Raw genomic sequence first — 21,798 nt, 5'->3', positions numbered from 1 at the left:
TTATAGCTACAGTTATTAACCATCATTTTGCATTCTGGAGAGAGGCTCAGAGAAACTAAGTAATTTGGCTAAAGTCACAGAGCTGAAAAAGCAAGATCCTGGGATTGATCCCTGCAAAGGTGAATTCGTTTCATAGGCAAGAAAGCAGTAGTTCCATAGGCACAGGTGACTACCTCCTCCCGCCATTAGCCATTATCTCCAGCTGTCCACACCTGTTAGCTCCTAAATGTGGGTCAGTATTCACAGGGTGGAAGGATTGGGGATGGTCTGGCCAACCCTGTCACATCACTATTGGAACAACAAGTGAGTTGTGTGTCCTCTTGACAGTGGTTCATGCATTGCTTCTGCCAGCTGTCTGAGTTAGCTTCTGGCTTTTGCCCAGGAGCATGTATGAGTACAGGGTGGAAAAGCAGATGCTGTTTTTCTGCCTTGCTTCAGAGCAGATCTGGGTCTAAGGCCCTTTCTCACTCTCTATCCCTGTCTTCTTCCCAGACATAGCCAGGCTGTCTGTTTCCCTTCAGTCACGCGGAGAAACATTAACAGGACACACCCAGCACTTTAAGCTAGATGGGGAAGCTCCACAGTAGAATGGTCCAGGAACCCATTTGGAACATCTGGAATTCAAGGACAACATTTCTCATGGCCTAATTACTATTTCTTTTCTCTGGAAGTGCTGGACAATGAGATTTTAAGGGTAAAACGAGATTTTATTTTTTAAGAGAAGAGTTCCTCGGACTAGAAGAGCAAAAGAACCATCTTGTTCTTGGATGCGGAATAAGGAAGCGAACCCTGGAGGGAGTATCAGCACACTGTGCTTCAGGCCTGCCTTTGCCTCTAATTTACTTGTCACTTTGGGCAAACCCTTATTATCCCTCTCAGATTCTGCATCAGTAAAATGAGGGCATTGAACCAGATGATCCTTGAGGTCCCTGCCAGTGCAAATGACCCTGTGAGCCAGCCCCTCCTCACTTTGTTCCAAATTCACAGAGAGGAGTTCTAAGGCCTTCCTGTGAGGGAAAAGAGAGTAGGGAGAAAGTGGATGAGAGCGACCATTGTTGGCTGAAACTCAGAGGGACCAGCCAACATCTGTGTTGGATATAAGCGGCTTTGGTTGCTTTTTACACTTAAAATCCCAGTCTTTTTCTCATTCAGGGAGTAGACTTAATTAATAGATTTTGTGCAGAGGAGAAATGGAATAATGATGACTGAGATCCTCTGCCTAGTAGAGCGTTAGTATTAATTCAGATGAACATTATTAAAGTGATATCATGATTCATTTGCTGTCACATACAGTCTTTCTTTAGGATAAGGCTACTATTGATAAGGGCATGAAGGCGATAATTGCCCAAAATCTAGACTGGCCAAACAAACAAGAAAACAAACCAAAAACAACTCGGAGTCTGTATCTGCTCACCAGGCTCTTTTTTCAGCTGCTCTTGCTAATATTTTAAATATGATGGCTGCCATCCAATGGAAATAATCTACCCCCAAAGGCCCAATCATGCCATGTACATGCCATGAGGATAGGGATGGTTTTTGTTTTGTTACCACTGAATCTCCAGCACTTAATCTTTGGTTGTCACATATTAGGCCCTCTGTATTTGCTGAATGAGTGGATATATTTAACACTTACCTACAGGAATGATTTCAAGAGAGAAGATCACCTGAAAGTGTACCAATTTGTTCTTGTACATAAGCTTCCCTTTGACATCTTTCTAGAATATTAACTTCTAAATAAGGCCAGACTCTTAAGGCATAGGATCACTGGGCCAAGAGAAACATGACAGCTCTTTAGCAGAACAAGCAAGTCATTGTAATGCAGGGCCTGACCTGGGCACATGTGCCAGAAAGTCCATCCATCACTTGGACTTCTTTCTTGTCTGGCCTCCAGTCCTCTTTTTCTTCCAGCTTCTGCATCTGGGCTCATTCTGAGCTTGTTTCAGGGGCCTACCTGGATACTTATTGCCTGCAACAAAGACATCATTTCTCTTACTGCAAATGATTTGAAAGAATTAATGCAGACCTTTATGTCGTCTTTCATATAGAGGAAACTGTCACCATGACTCTTTGAACCAGAATACAACATAGATCTTAATTGAGGTCTCTTTCTGCCTTTGCACGTAAACTACAAAGTCATTAGAGTTATTAGCAGCAACTAGATAGACCAATCTGCATTTGTAAAGCAAACTTGGTATTTTGGAAGTATTGGTTAAGAAGCAGCTCATAGTTCTTTTTGTTTCCCTATTAGGGCTGGACATTTACATGGAATGGTTTTGTGTCTGTGTGTTTCAAAAGATTTTTAGTCTCTTACCCCACTGCACCTGTCAGCTTTCTCTGAGCTACATTTGGAGCTATTCTTATTACTCGTTTTTATTCTAAATGTAATTCTTTGGTTTGAGGGGTGGGGCCAGTTAACACAGATTTTACCAGGCTTATCTCTGGGTACAAACCAGAGAGTTTATGGTTTCAATAGGTTTATGTGTAATGGTAATCACTAGAGCCTTTTAAAGGGAGGACAAAATGGGAGAATCAAAGTATATTCATGGAACCAAAAACCTTTGATTAGAAAGTGTTTGAAGAACTATGTGTGTTATAAGAGTGTCATATATAATATAATCAGGTATGATAAAAGCATTTTGCTATTTTTTATTGCATAAAAGATATTTATTGACCATAAGCTCTGGCAAAAGTTAGTTTAATAATAAGAATAATTCACATTTATTGTACCCTGTGTAAAGTGCTTTTTATTCATTATCTCACTTAATTATCAAAACAACTTAATTAGGTAGATAGATTTTTCACCAGGTCTTTCTTTCCATTTTATTGATGAGGAAATTTAGAGAGATTAAGTAATTTGCCTAATATCACACAAGGCTTAAATGATGGAACCAAAATTCAAACTTAAGTTTATGTGACTTAGAGCCCCCATTCTTAACCCCACGGTATGGTGCTACCTTAAATTATCCCTCCGGAGGGATAATAACTTATCCCTCTCCCACCTCTGGAGTCACAAGACTTTGATTCCAATTGGAGTTCACTTACTTCAAGTCCAGGGGTAAGTCCTTCTCTGCACCTGTTTCCTATAAGGTATGAGTGGTGTAGGTTATGGGGGACATGGAAAACAGTTGGTGCCCCTCTTCTGCAAGGGGGATGGACTCCTTAGCACTGCTTGGCATCAGGAAGCCCTCTAGCCCTCCTGTTAAGAGCGGCTTTGTTTCTGGCATGTCCAAAGCTGCTCCACACTGTTATACTTACACAAACAACTTGCCAGGGAGATTCCCACCACTCTCAGCATCTTTGCATTGAATTAGCAAAACTACCAATTAGGGATTCTTCCTAACGTGAATTTAAATGCCACCTTCTCATTTCATACTCCACACTGCATGCCCCATTCTCTTAAATATATCTTAAGTAAGATTCTTTTGAGGTTTGACTTACTATGGCTCTGTAAAATTCATACTTTCAGAGTCTCCATGGAGATAACTTTTTTCTTTATCTCTCCTTAAAAAAAAAAAAACGGGATACATGTGCAGAACGTGCAGGTTTGTTACATAGGTATACATGTGCCGTGGTGGTTGGCTGCACCTATTGACCCATCCTCTGAGTTCCCTCCCATCACCCCCCCAACCCCCAACAGGCCCTGGTGTGTGTTGTTCTCCTCTCTGTGTCCATGTGTTCTCAATGTTCAACTCTCACTTATAAGTGAGAACATGCGGTGTCTGGTTTTCTGTTCCTGTGTTAGCTTGCTGAGAACGATGGCTTCTAGCTTCATCCATGTCCCTGCAAAGGACATGATCTCATTCCTTTTTATGGCTGCATAGTATTCCATGGTGTATATGTACCACATATTCTTTATCCAGTCTATCATTGGTTCTATGTCTTTGCTATTGTAAATAGTGCTGCAATAAACATACGTGTGCATGTGTCTTTATAGTAGGATGATTTATATTTCTTTGGGTATATACCCAGTAATGGGATTGCTGGGTCAATATTTTTTTTAAGTCTAATGCCCCATCTTATGAATAATAAAACCAACACCCAAGTGGTACCCACCTAATTAGTGTTTTTGCTACTATCTGTTTTACTGTGGGACACAAGGATTTTAAAATTAACTAAGGCTTTTTTTCCATTACAAAATAAGTATGCTGGTTGTAGAAAAATTTACCAAAATCACAAACAATAAGGACAATAAAAATAAGCTACAATGAAATTACTCAGAGAGAACCACTGTAAACTTTCAGTATACCCATCTAGATTTTTTTTTTTGACTATATTTGCCATTTATTAAAATGATTCCACATATTGTTTACGCTGTTTTATGCCTTACTTTTCATTGCACAATATATTACGACATCTTTCCATGTTTTAAATATCCTTCCATAATTTAATTTTTAATAGCTATATATTATTACATTCCTTGGAAAATCTAGTTAAATGAATCTCATTTTTTTTGCATTGTTTTGATTTTTTCCGAGATCTTTGCATTAACAACAAAAATGAAATGACAGATTTATTGTCGGTTGTTTTTTAGTTGAAGCCAAACTAAAAACTGCCTCAGGATGAGAGGTTGAGTAATCTTCCCGAAGTCACTCAGCTCACGAGTATCAGACTACAGATTGAAATCCCAGTGTCTTTACTCTTAGCCTTATATTCTTGTCACCACTCATTCCTTCATTAGTTGTGCCATTTTACATGGAAAACTCTGCTTTCTCTCATTTCCTCCCGCTCTTGAATGAGCACATTTGTTTTCTCACCGCCACCTTTGCCTTCCTCCCTGTCTTGCTGAGGCTGTTGACATTTGTAGAGGTACACTGTGTCTTGGGACCTGAAGCTACGCAGCTGGAGAGGAAACATGGCCAGTTCTTCCCCACTCCTTACTGGCTCAACCTATAAGCTTGGAAGCTGGTTTTAATTTTACATTTTCTGTGTGTATGTGTGTTTGTTTTTAAAACTTTTTTCCACTTAATTCTTTCAAGGAGACCTTTATTTGAAATCATGCACTTTTTCCCGCAAAGCGAATCTGTGCCTCAAATCTTGATGAGATTACTTTGTTTGGGGATATTGATAAATTCATAGTGGGGTTTTTGGTTTATCCAATTAAATTGGTTTAAATTATGGCCTTATAGAGAGAAAGGGCCTCAGAAAACTTAGAGGGTTTTAAGGCAATTGAATATAATCTGCTTCTAGGGACTTCATCCTGGGTTTATTCCACAAAGAAGGTATGTTCTGTTTGTTTCCTTTTCATTTCACTTACTTCATTGCATGCTCTATCTCAGAACCCTTTTTGCTATGAGAAATTGTGGGAAAAAACAGCCTTGCTTGGCTAGGGGCAGGAAGAGAAAAGGGACCTGTTATTCCAACCCCTTCATTTGAATGATTGAGAAAATGTGGATCAAAAAGGGAAAATAATTTGCCAAGGTCATACGGTAAAATAGGTTTAAAAAAGTATGAGGCATAGGACTCATTTTTCCTTGCTCTTCTGATAACTTTTGTTATGAGAAGTTATAGTGCTTTTCTCGTAATTTTGTTGAGGAAGGCAGAGAGTGAGGGGGAGAGTGAATTATGTCCCCTACCCAGTAATTAAAGTCTTAACCCTCAGTACCTTACAACATGACTGTATTGGAGGCAGGGTCTTCAGAGAGGTAATTAAGTTAAATGAGGTCATTAGGATGGGCCCTAATCCACTCTGACTGGGGAGTTTTATAAGAAGAATAGATTAGGACACAGACACGCACAGAGGGAAGACCATGTGAGGACACAAGGATTAGGGGAGTTTGATCTATATACCAAGGAGAGAGGATTCAGAAGAAACCAAGCCTGCTGACACCCTGATCTCAGACTTCTAGCATTCATAACTTTGGGAAGATAAGTTTCTGTTGTTAAAACCATCAGCCTGTGGTACTTTGTTATGGCAGCCCTAGCAGAGTCATAAAGGGAGAAAGTGAAGAACAAAGAATGAAAAAATTAAAAACTTAAAACTTGAGAAGTTCTCAGAGAGCAGAAAAGGGAGCCCCAAATAAAATTTATAAGAAATTATGGCAGGCCAGAGCCCATGCTAACTGATTTTCAACCATAATTGTGTATATGGCATTTCATTCAATTCTATTACCATGCCGAGATCATAGTTATTATTAACCCACTTTACAAATGGGGAAATTGAAGCTCAGAAAGTTAATTTACCTCAAGTTACATCATTATTAACTAACTGGCAGAACTAAGTCCAAATTCACCTCTTGTCAGCCTTGAAAACCCTCACTTACTGTACTGTTCTATCTCCTTTTAAGAAGGTTAATGTAAGCTGCTTAGGAAACATTACTTATCAAGTTATTTAATGTTAGGAGAAATAAAAAAATGTACTCCAAAGTCTCAGTGACCTGGAATCCACTTAATTGATTAGACAGGAAATATTTGGCCCCTGATTTTAGGATAAAAAGAGAGATTGGGGAAATTTAAAAAGATAGCATAATTAGATTTCAGTACAGTCTTCCCCATGGCTGCACTTTCACATGTCTAAATGAACAGCTACACATAATGAAGAATTAATGTTCATAGTGATGTGCCGTGGGCCGTGAAGACATCTGATCCATCAGAGAGAATCAACAACTGTCACTAGGTTGCATTTGCTAAAGCAGGAAACCAGATCCATAAATCTATAACATGAGGAGACTTGGAAGCTGTCTATGTCAGAGTTTTACAAAGACATAATTTCAGTGATTAGATAGATAAATATGCAATCAATCCAAAAGAATAATCAAAATAACCTGAGCTGCTGGTAAACCCAGATGTTATGTTTTTTGTTTTTATTTTTGAGGTGGAGTCTCACTCTGTCACCCAGGCTGGAGTGTAGTGGCGTGATCTAGGCTCACTGCAAGCTCCGCCTCCCAGGTTCATGCCATTCTCCTGCCTCAGCCTCCCGAGTAGCTGGGACTACAGGCGCCTGTCACCATGCCTGGCTAATTTTTTTGTATTTTTAGTAGAGACGGGGTTTCACAGTGTTAGCCAGGATGGGCTCGATCTCCTGACCTCGTGATCTGCCTGCCTCGGCCTCCCAAAGTGCTGGGATTACAGGCGTGAGCCGCTGTGCCTGGCCCACCCAGATGTTATAATATGGGAACTATGAAGCACTTTCAATATTGAATGCAGATGGCTCTGTCGAAGCTGCCTTCTCACTGTTTTAAAGTTGTGAAGTCTATCAATCCTGAAATATATAGATTAAATTTACTTGGATATTTAGTAATGACACAGTCAAGGTAAGAGGTGGACAGGCATTGTTTTCAACAGATACTGGGATCGAGTCCCAGCTAACTGTATATTAGCTGTGCATATTTGTTGGTTCTACCTTTAGAGTAGAATATTAAGCCAACCACTTCTCACCATTTTTCATCACTGTCATCACCCTCACTCAAGCCTCTGTCATCTTACTCCAAGAACTCTTCTAACTTTTCTCTGTGGTTTCACTTTGCCTACCCCTAAATTCGTTCTCTATTCATGATAACCAGGTGGTCCTCTAAAAATGTAAATCAAACCAAGTCACTCCCCTGCTCAAATATCTCCTATTACACCTCAACTAAAACCCAGACCATGGCTCTTGAGGTCCCATGTGGAGTGGCCCTGCCTACTTCTCTGGTCTCCAGTCCTGCCACTGACTGTCAGTGACTCAGCATCAGCCATCCTCCCATTATGACACTTTCATGTCCAGCTCAAAGCTTCTGTACTTGTTGTTTTTTTTTTTCTCCCTAGGACTCAGATTATTCACATCTGTTCAGGAGACAGCTCCTTAGACATGCCCTCTTTGAAAATGTAACCAAATGTCCCAGACTCTCTTCCCAGCCTCCACCGTCCCCTTATCCTTTTTCTAAATTTCACTTATCACTGTTGAAATTACGCTATTTATTTAGTAACTTACTTATTCTTTGCACTTTCAGCCACTGCAGTGCCTTATTTTATTTTGTTCACTATTGTATCAATAGTACTGTGAACAGGAGGCATTTACAAATATTAGATGAAGGAATGAATGAATTAATTTAGACTAATGTTTCTTTCCCTGGGTTAAGTGGTTTGGCGAGAACAGTTGTCAAGGAAACAGGGTTATCAAAAGGCTGTTAGTCTGTCTGCTCCATGATCCTAGGGACTCTGTGTCATACCCCACTGTATCACCAAAACCTAGCTCAGTCTACCCCTGAATGAATGGAATGATAAATGAAAGATGAAGACTTGGGGCAACAGGGGAAGAGTGATAACACATAGGTGAAAACTGGCTGTGTCTGAGATGACTGACAAAGATGATAACTTGTTTGCTATTTTTTGGACAAAATTTAATACATGTTACAACATACATCTTGCTTTGATAGACATAAAACATGTAACTGTAAACTTCAGTCTGAAACATTTCTGAGCAGAGACACATCACAAAAGAGTAGACTATTCCAAAAGAAGATTATTCACCTGTTGTTAGACTCATAGAATGTTAAATAGTGATCATTGGGAAGAGAAGTGGGCAGCTTTATGGCTTTGCAGGTAAGGGATGAAGTCTTGGAGGTTCTAAGCACAGAGAATGTATTCCCATAATGTTAACATGGTCTTTGCCGATAGTAAGCGGTCTTGAATACATTCCAGGAGGTGCCTAGTATGAGTAAAGCCTTAGATCTTTATTGAAGGCGAAGAAACCTTTTGTTCTAGGATTAACTACCCACTTGTCTCTGATTTTTGAGTTCTGATAATTTTTAAGTGGTGTCTCGTTTGTATTTAGTTCAAGTGTTTGTTTCATTCAAGGTCTGCCTGACCTCTTGAAGTCCTTGTTCTCAGAGCATCTGCAGTTTTATCTATCAATACAACTTGAAGAAGTTCAGGGCCAAAGAATCAAAAATAGCCTCTGCTTTGATAACCACCTCTCTATCCAATGAAAGCAGAGTTGCGGGTGTATAGGTTTTTAGACAGACAGATGGAAGCCTGTAACCAAGAAAATCAGTCATCACCATTGTCTGCTTTGTCAAGAAGGAACCAGAAAAAAAGAGCGAACTCTTCCCTTTCTTTCCTTACCCATATTCTTTTATAGAAGGTGTGTTTGGGTTGTTGTAGAAAGGTAGTTAAGATATGTGGTATGAATCAAACCAACCTAAAAAGAAATGAAAAGTCAAGTTACTTTTCAGGGATAAAGGAGAGGGAAGGTAGGCACTAGGTGGAAGGCTTTGACCTGAGAAGATTTAGGGAGATTCTAGCTTCTAAAGGAACTCACATTTATTGAGAATCTGGGCTTCATCCTCACAGCATTCCTTTGAAAAAGATATTATTTTCCTCGCTTTACAGTCAGGACTCCAAAGCCCTTCTCTTTCCCACCATTCCATCAGGCTAACTGGCACTGATTCATCACTTGAATTCTTGGACTGCTTTAACAATGAGGACCCTCTTTGCACTCCTGTATGATAGACCTAATCTTTGAGGTCTGGACTACAAGGCAGAGCAAACTGGAAGACATCTGTGGTCTTTGAGACAATTCCTTCCTTCCACACTCTCCATGGGGCCCTCTTCATGGCCGCCTGGTGTGACTGGAGCACCACAGCTGAGTGTTCTGTTAGACTTGCACACCACGGACAGTTTTAGGAAGTTACATAAGCCAGTGGTTGTGTGCTTATGACCACAATCCCCAAGAAGCTCCCACAAGCTTTAAAAATACAATGTCAGACTTGAAGAAGAATCCCTGTGGCCTCCACAAATAGATGGGGAGCTATTGCCTGTCATTTGAAGGTGCTTCTCACACATTCCAAGGCCTGAGCCCGCATTCCTCCTCTGGGAGTTGCATTTTGGCGGGCTTTCAGATTTGGTGAAAAGGTTTCTTGTTTCTGAGAAGCAATAGGGTGGGAATTCACTCGACGTCTTTGTCATTGTAAAGGCCCTGTCAAAGCCAGCTGTCAGTCAGAAAAGATGAAAAGAGAGAGCTGCTTCTTAAGAGGGAGCTGGGTACCATTAACGGCACAGCCTCTTGGAAAGGCGAAGGGGATCACAGAACTTTGACCGGAATCCTTGGCTCCCGACTCCCATTCTAGGGATCTTTCCACCCTTCTTTTCTGCCTTTCAGTTGGCACAGCCATTTTCAGCGTGGCATTAACTCAAGCCCGTCCACTAACACCTGACCTTTCTCTTAAATCCCAGGCCACCATTTCAGTGACCTGCTACATTGCTGTATGGTTGACCAGTACCTCAAAATTATTCTTAGTCTTACACTTCAATTTTGTTAGTCCTTTTTCTGTTTCCTGTGTCTATTAATGGGTCCTCTGTAGACATGCTGCTTTAAAACTCAGTCTGGTTTGGCACGTCTGCATCTGCGTCACTTTCCCTTCCTCTTCAGTTACTTAGTTGATTGACACTTTCTTCTGCAGTATGCCATTGCATTTTCTAATCCATATTCTTCCTGTCACACTGGACCACAGCAATTACCACATTCTTTTACTTTTTTATAATTTTCTTTATTAAGTTCCTTTTAAAAGTTATAAAGTACATTACGCATATGCAACTAGAGAAATAATGTAAATAAATAGAAGAGAGAGAAGAAAAAGTTTAAAAGGACCCCTACAACCTCTCTCTGCATCCTTTCCTTCTACAACATCCAATGTTAATAATATGATGTGCATCCTTCTGGAACTTTCTTCCAGATCAGCTCACACAAAAATATAATAAACATATTTACATACAGCATTTTTTGTTTGCTTTGACAAGAACTACATCATATTTTGCATATTGCTCCAGAACTTACTTATTTTAGATATTTCTTCAGTTCATGATATAGATTTAAAGGTGGCCATAATAATCATAATCCATATTTGTGGTGATATCATAGTTTATTAAATCACATCCCATTGTTGGCTATTCAGGGCCTGGGCTGGGTATTTCCTGCTTGCATCCCCAGATATCCTCTCCACCTTTGTCTACCCTGCTCCATACTCCGTGTATGGTGTGCCTTAGTTGGTTTCTTTGCCCTTGGGCTTCTGGTTGCATTTAGCTCTTAGGGCACCAATAGGAGATTAGAGGGAGAGTGAACAATGAAGTCGGGGTATTTTCCCCTGATTCCTTCCTATCACTAGGTCATTGTGGGGCAGCTGCATGTCTCTGCTGAAGGTTACGGCTCCTGCCAGGCAGCCCTCTCCATACAGCTACAGTCTCCACTTCCAATAACCACTCCCTCCCCTTTCCCTCTTCTGGCCTTGGCAATGGCTCCCTGATGCTGGTAGGCCCTGGATGCTGCATATCCATTTATTTGCCCTAAACACTGCCCACACTTTGTTAAGTAATTTCTTTGTTAAATTCTCCTTAATAACTTCTTAATAATTTTATCTGTTTCCTGCTGGCACCCAGCATGCTAAAGGTCTTTTCTTATTTTGTTTTGTTTTTTTTCCCCCTGCCACTTGCTGTTTCTAAGTTTTTCCTTCCTTTATCTCCAGCATGGGCCTCTGTCAGCTTGATTTTTTGACCCTATGATTGACTATTTTACTTATTTTTTGAAGATCCTTCTAGGGCTACTACATAGTAAAGGTCAAACTTCCTAGTTGGCAGCCGTTTGCATCCCTTATTCCAGTATCTTAAGCTTTGGAAGAAGGAGGGTGCCTAACTCCACAATCTCTTATAGAGATGCATTTCTTGCATCGATACCATTGGTTCTCCCAATGATTGGTTGTGTAATATTGGACCATGAGCTAACCTCCCTAAGCTTCCATGTCTTCATCAATGCAATAGGAATGACAGTAGCATATAATTCATAGCACTTGAAGATTGATTGAACAACATGTACTTAAAGCTTCTACCTGTTTTCAGCAAATAAGAAGTTTTCAGTAAATGGTAATTATGAATTATTGTAACACGCTGTGATCATAATTGCCGTTGGCCATACCCACGTGTACAAATCAGCTATTTACCTTAGATTCACTTAGGCAAGGCCTCTGTGGATCCTTTAATCTCTGCCAGACAAAAGATTTTTCTGCCTGCCTCTCTCCTCTCTCTCTCTCTTCCCCCCACCTTTCTTAATTAATAGACTTTGTTTTTTAGAGAAGTTTTAGGCTTACAGAAAAATTGTGCACAAAGTACAGAGAGCTCCCATAGACTCTTTCTCACTCCCTCCTCACCCCCAAGTTTCCTCTCTTATTAACACCTTACATTGGTGTGGTATGCTTGTTACAATAGATGAACCAATATTGATACATTGAAGAGAGTCCAGTTTACATTAGAACTCACTCATTGTTGAGTAGTTCTACGGGTCTTAACAAATGAAAAATGTCATGTGTCTATCATTGCAGTATCGTCTAGGACAGTTTCACTGCTCTGAGCCACTTCAGTGCTCCGCTTACTCACCAGTTCATCCCCTCCCTGTTCCCCTACCCCCCGCCCCAACTGGTAACCACTGATCATTTTACTGTCTTTCTATAGTTTTACTCTTCGTCATTTTAGGTCACATTACTATTTGCGATCCTGGCTTACTTTTCTAACTGTTTTATCTTTACTTCTCTATTCACCTTCTGTATTCAACTTCATGGCTAGTAGTTACACTAGCATATGTTTCAGGAATGAATTATTAAACTCGTTTACCCTTAGAATAAAGACTTAGGTTGAATTTAGGCACTTCTTCCTGATGGAATAGGCATTTGGCTTTTGCACAGGCCCAGGGGCTCAAGGGACAAGAGATCCTGTTTGATTGAAGCTGGATGTCACTTCTCTAGTCCGCATATGTAAGAGAGCTTCCACCCATGGCACGTGTATTTGAGGCCTAAAAAGGAACAATGCAAAGCAAAACAAACAAGTAATAAAACACAAAACTATCATATAAATCCAGACCAAAGAGGGACATGAATTAGCTCTCTAAAGCACTGACTTGGCTTTAATCTGTACTGGACTTTATACTCTGGTCCTGAGCTACAGATTTCTCAAGCAGCTTGTATAAAATGGTAATAGCTGCCTTGTATTTGTACTGTAATTTGGATTTGATTTTAACAGTACATCGATATTACAAGAGCAGTAGAATAGAAGTTGTAGCAAGGTGGTAGGAGCAGTAGTAATATGTGTAATACCTACCACTTAGGAGTCTTTTTTTTTTTTTTGAGACGGAGTTTTGCTCTGTCACCAGGCTGGAGTGCAGTGGTGCAATCTCAGCTCACTGCAACCTCTGACTCCCTGGTTCAAGCGATTCTCCTGCCTCAGCCTCCTGAGTAGCTGGGATTACAGGGATGCCACCACGCCCAGTTAATTTTTGTATTTTTAGTAGAGACGGGGTTTCACCATGTTGGCCAGGATGGTCTCGATCTCCTGACCTCGTGATCCGCCCGCCTTGGCCGCCCAGAGTGCTGGGATTACAGGCGTGAGCCACTGCGCCTGGCCAGGAGTCTTTTGTGAGTACCAACCCTGCATCATGTCTTTAACTCTCACAGTAGCCCTGTGAGGTAAGCATTATTATCTATACTTTACAGATATATAAATGTACCTTTTTAGAAAGATTTACCTTCACTCAGCTGAAGAAGCTGAGGCACAAAGAAGCATCAAGTTAGTTGCCTAAAAATCACAGAATAACTTAATGGCAGAGATGCTAATGTAGCCCTGGCTTCTGGACTCCCTCAGTTGCTACCTACAGTTCTGGGGGTAGCTTCAAAAACTGCTATTAGGCTGGTTTTCTTCCCAGGCAGGAACCTTTCTATTTTTTCCAACCAAAAGCCCAGTTAAAGATTTGCCATATGTCTTCACTTACCCATATCTGGTTTCCTGTTTTCTGATAAGGCATCTTTGTTCCTACACCTGACCCTACCCCACCCTGCCTCTTTCCCCATCCACCCAAGCTTCGGACCCAGAGCATGGTCCCCAGTAATCTCATCCTTCTACTGTACTGCCTGATGTGGGTGGTCCCCGTCACTCTACTTTGAGTCCTACTCTTGCTTCTCACAGGCCCATGTGGACACATATGGACCTATACTTCAATAGCAGAGATGGTTCCAGCTGTTTCATAAGATCATTTTAGGGGGTTGTGGAAGAAGGCATTAAATAACATGGAATCACATAATGACAAATTTTGTCCCTTTTCTAGTTCTTTTTCAAATCTTCTGAGTAGATCAAGGAAAAAGTCTCCGTTTACTACTAGTTTCTCATTAACATCTCCCTGATCCGTGATAATCTTCCTTTTTAACAAAATAACAGATCCAAGATCATCCTTTAGAGCCCTCTCGAAGGCAGCAGAATGTAGACAAAATTTAGTGATGTTTTTATTGTATTCATTCCTAGGTTCACTGTTTAGTTTTGGCAAGTAATACTAGTTTAGAATTTATGAGACTAAGATAGTGTTTTCTTTTAAAATACATTTATATAAGGATAATATTAAGCAAATAACAGCACAGTTTATTGCAGGCTGTGTCAGATATCATGCAGGTAGTGCACAAATGACTGAGGTTTGAGCTACACAGACCCAGCTGACCTTTCTCGTTGAGAATGGAATCTCTCTAGGGCTCCTCTTGTCCAGTGCTGTCCCTCTCCTCCACATTCTCTTGCTTCTGGCGTGTTATCTATTTGTACTTATCTGTGTCTGGAACGCTGTTGAAGATTAACAGACCATTATCGGGAGCTAGGATTAGGGTGCTCCCCACAGTCCATTCCCCCATCCACTGTGACCCAGGGCAGGCCACATCACTTGTCAGGCCCTTTGATAATGACATCTTTAAAATGGTTAACATGAAGTTCTGGGGAGGGAAGAATGCACATAGCTGGCTTTGATTCTCCAGTTCAGACAACAGAGCAGCCACTCTGCCCTGATTAATGCTGCCCTGGGCTACTGCTGCCTCCACATTGCTGTTTTTCCTACCTTGTGTCTGTCCGTCTAGGGCTAAACCAAAGATAATAAAGAAAGTGAAGACAGTGCTTTCCATGTGTTATGTATTCTGCTTCGTGGGTTGCATTTTGAAGGGAGTGCCCCAGGTTGACCTACTTCCAGCACACCTCAGTGGTCATTAAGTATGTTTAGGTGATGAGGAAAGGGAGGAGTGTTTGAGACTCTCATCTGTAGCAGTTCAGAGGTTTGGAATAGCCAACCCTGGTAAACTATGCCCAATTTCAATGAAGACTCGGAGCCAAGAAACTGCATTGCTCCTCAAGATGTCTATCTTCTCCCAGGCCTTTCTGTTTGTCTCAATGGCATGCTTGTCATCGAGGGTCCTAGAAACACACCCATGTACTGGAGGGAGCGTGGGTGGGAGGCAGCTTTAAGACCTTACTGCCCTCTCTACAGTCCTGCTGGAAGAGTGTAGATTGTTATCTCCTCACAAGGGCTTATTTCCAGAGGAAAAATGACCTGGAGGGGCCATGGGAACTTGCCCTGTGGGGTTGGGTTTAAAAGGGGAAGTCTTGGCTGACCTTGGCTGCTGGTGGCAGGAGCTGAGAACAGTTGCTGAGGCTTAGCTGGGGACTGGCGTCTCTGGAATTCCCTTTATGGCAAGGTCTGTTATATTTTGATTAACAAAGTGTTAGTTCAGTCCTTCTTGAGTATTTGTGAGAGAGGAGTTTTACAATGGCTGGTTATAATTGTAAGAAATAATAATGATGATGGTAGCTCACACATATTGAGCATTTATAGTGTGCCAAGCAGAGTTCAACCCTTTATATATAGTATGCCCCACAATCCTTGTTTGCACCCTCAGAAAAAGGTATCATTGTCCCCATTGTTCACTGATGAGGTAACTGAAGCCCACCCAGAGAGGTGAAGTCATTTATCCAAACACGGGTAGTGTTGGTGCTAGAAGTCAAGCTCATGTCTGCATGTCTCACCCAAGGCAACATATTTAATAACAGAGCCAGGATGAGAACTTGAGTCTCCTGAGAGCATATTTAGTACCTTTTCCTAAATACCACCTTGAGTCAACTGGACTATCTTAGAATGTCTGGTTTTTCCTCTCTTCTTGAACTGATGCTGCTTTGGGGAAGAAAAACAAGATTTCATCCATGCAGTCTATCCATCCTGATGTTTTCTTAAGAGTGAAAGTGTTTTAGGAAATCAAATCTAATTGCCCAAATGGGAATTTATTTTAAATAACCACCTGCACCTTCATCTGGATTTTAAAAGGATCTTGAATCCCCACTGAGAAGGTCACAGTCTGTGCTTTGTTAATGCAGGTAACAAAATATTTGATTTTGGGAGTCTCATCCTTCATTTTATATCCTCTTTATAGGATTATAGTTTTTACTCTGAGCTGCTGGAATGTCTGCGGAGTGTGGAACAGATGTGTCTTAAGCGCTGTTCTCAGTCTGACTTTATTGACTGGGAAGAAGTCCATGGAGGGCTTTGGTTTCTCTGAGAGGCATGTTCTCATTACCTCAGATAGACAAAGGTGGTAATTTATGTTCTCTAAGTTGAAGACTAGGGGAGGAAAACTAAAATGGAGACCAACATCTCTAGTAGGCTTTTAGCTCAAGATTCTGTCTTTTCATTCCCTATTTTACTTTGCATCTGTCATTCTTAACATTCCTTATAGCATTTATTACATCTTCCAGTTCTCTCTCCCCGCCCTTTCCTCTCTTTCTCCTTTTCTCCCTCCTTTCCTTCCTTTCTTTTTTCTTTTTCCTTTTTTTTCTTTTTTTTTTTTTTTGAGACCGAGTCTCACTCTGTTGCCTAGGCCGGAGTGCAATGGTGCGATCTTGGCTCACTGCAATCTCTGCCTCCCAGGTTCAAGTGATTCTCCTGCCTCAACCTCCCAAGTAGCTGGGATTACAGACGCCTGCCATGATGCCTGGCTATTTTTTTTCTTTTTCTTTTTGTATTTTTAGTAGATACAGGGTTTCACCATGTTGGCCAGGCTGCTCTCGAACTCCTGACCTCAGGTGACCCACCCGCCTCGGCCTCCCAAAATGCTGGGATTACAGGCGTGAGCCGCCACACCTGGCCCCCATCCTTCTTTTTTCTTCCCTCCTTTCCTCCCTCCCTTCCTCCCTACCTTTTTCCCTCCCTCTCTTTTGCTTTCTCTCTCTCTTTTTACTTCCTTCCTTTATTCATTTCTTTGTTCCTCTCTCTTTCATTCTCCTTCTCCCGCACTGAGTTTTTTATGGTTAGTTTTCCTAATCAGTATCATACCCTAGTGAAGGAAAAGATGTTAGACTTATATCACACTTTAAAGTCCTGTGCCAAGCTGGATTGCAAAGTAGATCCCTTTATAAACTACATTAACACATTCAGGCCATTAAGGGGCAGGTGTATTGCACTGATTTTATCAGTAGTGGCTTGAAAGTTACTGAATTCCTAAAGCTACCTACCTGAGAGAACTGGACGCAGTTTGGACACTGGAACGAATTCAGTATCAAATAGAGAAGAGAGCCCTGTCAGAAAGAGCTGCTTGTCATAAGGTTTAAAGACACTTGGTACGGTGTCCTAGGAGAAATCAGTGATGTGCCAGGAGATGGGAGACATGGGTTTACTTCAAATTGGAACTAATCTACTCTGTCATTTGGAGAAGGTCACTCACCTCTCTGTATATATCTCCCCATTTGGAAAATAGAAATAGTCTCTCACCAACATACTTAAGGCTTAAAAACATTCAAAGTATTATAAATAATATTAATGGAATAAATGTAATATTTATTAGCTATTTACTTGTGTGCTAGATTATACACGCACACACACACGCACACTGGCAGCCACCCTGTGATGTGAGCTAAGTATTACTATCCACTCTGGGCTGATGAAAAAAAACGATGCTCTGAGAGGTTAAGTCCCAACTCAAGATCACACACGTAGTTAAGTGGTGTGTCTGATTCTCCCAGCAGTGGCAAAACCTAGCTGGACCCAAACTTGCCAGCTGGTATGCCTAGAACCCTGCTGGGCTGCAAGACAGTGACACACGTAGCTCTTGGTAGCTGTGCAGGGCCTAAGGCAGGTCAGTGGCGGGTTGCTTCAGGCTCTGAATACGTTCATTTTGGGTTCCAGAAACCCTTCAGATTACCACAGCATGCCCTAGTGGTATCATCATTCTTTATATATATACATAATTACATTAGAAAGATTGCTAACTTTGTAGACAAGACCATTTAACCTCCTCAGACATCAGCTCATGGACGCTTGGCAGTCTTGGCTGCCAGGAACAGAAGGTGAAGAGGCCCACTGAGCCATATTCATCACTGAGGGAACTTTTATTTTATTTTATTTTAAGTTCTGGGATACATGTACGGGATGCACAGGTTTGTTACATAGGTAAACATGTGCCATGGTGGTTTGCTGCATCTATCAACCCATCACCTAGGTATTAAGCCCAGCATGCATTAGCTATTTATCCTGATGCTCTCCCTCCTCCCCGCACCCCACCCACCGTGACGGGCCCCAGTGTGTGTTGTTTTCCTCCCTGTGTCCATGTGTTCTCATTGTATGTAGTGTTTGATTTTCTATTCCTGTGTTAGTTTGCTAAGGATAATGGCTTCCAGCTCCATCCATGTCCCTGCCAAGGAGAGAGCAACTTTTAATCAGAGATGTTGGGTTTGTTCATTTTGTTGGCTTTTGATCTTAGCATGTGTTAATCTATCAGGCTCATCCATGAATTCATAGACAAACACTTTTTTGTGTCCAGTGGGGTTTGATTTTATGTGACCTGGGGGTGGTCAGTGGTTATGTCATACCCCACGCTCACATTCCCCAGTGCCAAGCCTAAGAATTGCCTTTCAGATTCCTCTTTGTTGATGACTGATTTGCCTAGGCCGCCATTTATAGTGGATCCCCCTTCCATGGAAAGAGTTAAAATTGGGGAGGATAGCAGGGCAAGCTGAAGACCCATAGAGGAAGCATTTATTTGAGCTCTTTAAGTTCAGGTTTTGATATTTTTGCTCTGCATGGTGAAAACAAATTAATAATGTTAATATTTGTAGCCCATGGAGAAAACTCTTCTTAATCTCTTCTCTGAAACCTACACCAGGCCTATGATTCATCTTTGGGCTCTGTTTAGATTCCTGATTATTGAGCCAGAAAGATTTTATTTAATTACTATTTGAAAAGTTTCCAATGACACCATCTCAATGGTGTTAATTCCACTTGGATCAGTGCTTACTATCCCCCTGATGTTCACAGGTCTGGATATAGCATTTGCCCCTTTGCTGACATTTCATGCTTGTTGAAGGGAGTGATGATCACACCAGTGGCTCAGGGCTGCGTGTCCTTAGGCTGGTCATATTTCATAACTGGTCTCAGTTCAGACAGAAACTGGCCCCTTTCCAAAACCCAGTTTAGTTCAGTTCTTTGCTGGGAAGATGAAGAAAATCAGGAAAGCATTGAGTTATGAGAGGGAGGGTACTCTTACAGTTACCAAGATTGTTATTATTATGAAGTTCCTGTTGAAGATGTTCTGTCACCTTCCTGGACACACATAGAACTGTGGGGTGGGGTTGGGGGCAGGCAGGAGGGCAGTGGTTCCTTGTGCTGGTCTGTGACTTGGTACTGGGCTGCCTGATGGCTGCATAAGGAGCTTATAAAATGCAGATTTGGTGATGTAGAGCACAGCCTGGGAATATGTATTTTTCTAATGTGTACACACTAGTTTGGAAGCACAGACCTAGGACTGCCTCATATAATTTTGCAGTACTGTTAAAATAGTATATCACAAAGCCATCATTTATTTTCTCAAAACTCTAATTTTTGGCCGCTTCCCACAATATTCTGACCCAGACACCTTTACATCATGTGGATATAATACAACCTCCTGTGTCCCACCCTTCACCTATTCATTCAACCAATATGGAATAGCTGTCTAGGATGAGCTCCAGGAACTAAGGTAGAAATATCAAAAGATACATTGTTCCAGGACTAAAGGAGTCTTTGGTTTAGTCAGGAGATAGCTTGAGTAATAAATAAATCAGCTACAGTAGAACATTGTTATTTTTCCAACTAACTTGCAGTGGGAGCAGGTGAAATTTGCTGGAAGGTCAGGTCACACATCGTGGAGGAAAAGCCCTTTGGAGCCTTGACAAAGGAGATGACTGCTAGATGCCAGGTGATTATATGAGAAGGCAGAGAGAACATTTTTGTAAATGCCTAGTGGACAGAGAGCCTGATAATGTGACAAGAACTGCATGTTCTGTCATTTTAAAATATAGGCCACACATGATAGAAATGAGGGTGGACATATTAACAGACCAGATCATGAGGGGCTTGTATATCATGTGTGGTGGACCTTTGTATTTGACCTCATAGGCATATCTTCCTTGCCACATATGTAGTTTGTTTTGGAACACTTCATTGATCTGTATCTTTAAAAAAATAATTTCCCCTGACAATATGATATGATGAAATTTCTTCTTATGCAATACCTTAGAAGAGCAGAGGAAGCTAGGTGGTAATTTTCTGTATCCCAGATGGGGCCTACCTTCAAATCTCATTCTCTGGCCCTTTCATTTCTGAAGCCAGAAGTCAGCTGGTTTTGGGGCTCCGTCCTCCATAAACTTTATATCCTCTTTGAAAGCTGACGTTCTCAAACAGGGGCTACAGAATCAGCATCAAGGGAATGATGACCATGGTTGGCCCTGCATATGATGTCTCCCTGCCCTTGACCCCTTAATCAGTGACTCTTAATCCTCATAGTCAAATAGCCATGGAGAACATTGGCCCTGAGCAGTGCATTCTAGAGCTGACTTCTCAACACAGGTCTTCACCCCTCTGCTTGCAATCCTGACATATGTCTCAGTGTATTTTCATTCAAACTCAAACTCTTACCAAACCCAGCATGAGTAGCCTGCCTACCTCCCCAACCTGATTTAATGCCACTTTCTTCCTTGAACCCTAAGCTCCTTCCACATTGAGCTTTTTCAGGTTTTCAGAGAAACAAAACTTAGTCCTACCTCCAGGCTTGTGCACATGCTATTCCTTCTACCTAGAGAAGTTCTTCACCTCCACCTCCATCTAAATTGCTCTTCCCTGAAAAGACATTTTCCAGCCTCTAAACAAGCCCACTCCCCTGTATTTTGTGACACGTAATATAATTTTAGATTGCTTGATTTGTTTTGTTTACTTTATTTCTCTATTGCCAGACTTTCCCTTTAAGCTCCATAAAATCAATGACCTGGGAATGAATGGATGGATGAATGGATGGATGGATGGATGGATGGATGGATGGATGGATGGATGGTTGGAGTTGAAATATCTTTGTGAAGCTGAATTCTTCACAAAGTCCACCCTCTCATTCTTTATTCATGCTGTAGCTACACTCAGCCAGACTCCTGGGAATTGTTTTCTCCTCCATGAACCCAACAAAGCTTAATCCATCCCTCATACTCCAGCCTAAGCTCCATTCATTTAATGAAACTTGTGATCTGTCAGGTTGACACTGATTTGTCCCTCTCCTGACTTATATATAAAGTATATATTTACTTTGTTAATAACTTCATTAACTTTGTTAATAACTTGCATTGTTTCCTGTCGGGTAACTCAAATTTCATCTAAGTTATAGTTTTTAAAAAGGCTTTATTTTTCTCATAATTAAAGCAATAAAGAAATGCACTCAGAAAATGTGAGGAATATTGAGTATAATGAGATAAATATAAATCCTGCATAATTTCTCCACTGTAAGTTAAATACTATAGATACTTTGCCTTTTCCCCTTCTAGCGGTTTTATTACACATTTTACAACATTGTGTGTACTTGTGCATACATTTGTAAGTATCCTGAATTTTAGACATAACCATGATCTGAGCATGCCCTCGTGTAATTGCAAATACTTCTAAAAGCTTCTTTCCTTGTACGCCTAACCATAAGTTCTATTTTTGAGAATCACCATTGAGTGTCAACAGAGTACTAGAGAGTGCACTAGCCACTG

General features: G+C 41.1%; 1 protein-coding gene across 3 annotated transcripts in view; it reads left to right on the top strand.

Moving 5' to 3' along the window:
- DPYSL3 (dihydropyrimidinase like 3) overlaps positions 1-21,798 on the top strand; it is a 119,261-nt gene that overhangs the window by 62,958 nt on the left and 34,505 nt on the right. The window lies entirely within an intron of this gene.

The sequence above is a fragment of the Homo sapiens genome, chromosome 5 (assembly GCF_000001405.40).
Source record: "Homo sapiens chromosome 5, GRCh38.p14 Primary Assembly".
In the NCBI taxonomy this organism is placed as follows: Eukaryota; Metazoa; Chordata; class Mammalia; order Primates; family Hominidae; genus Homo; species Homo sapiens.
Note: the sequence above shows the minus strand (reverse complement) of the source record. Positions and strands in the feature narration are given on the sequence as shown.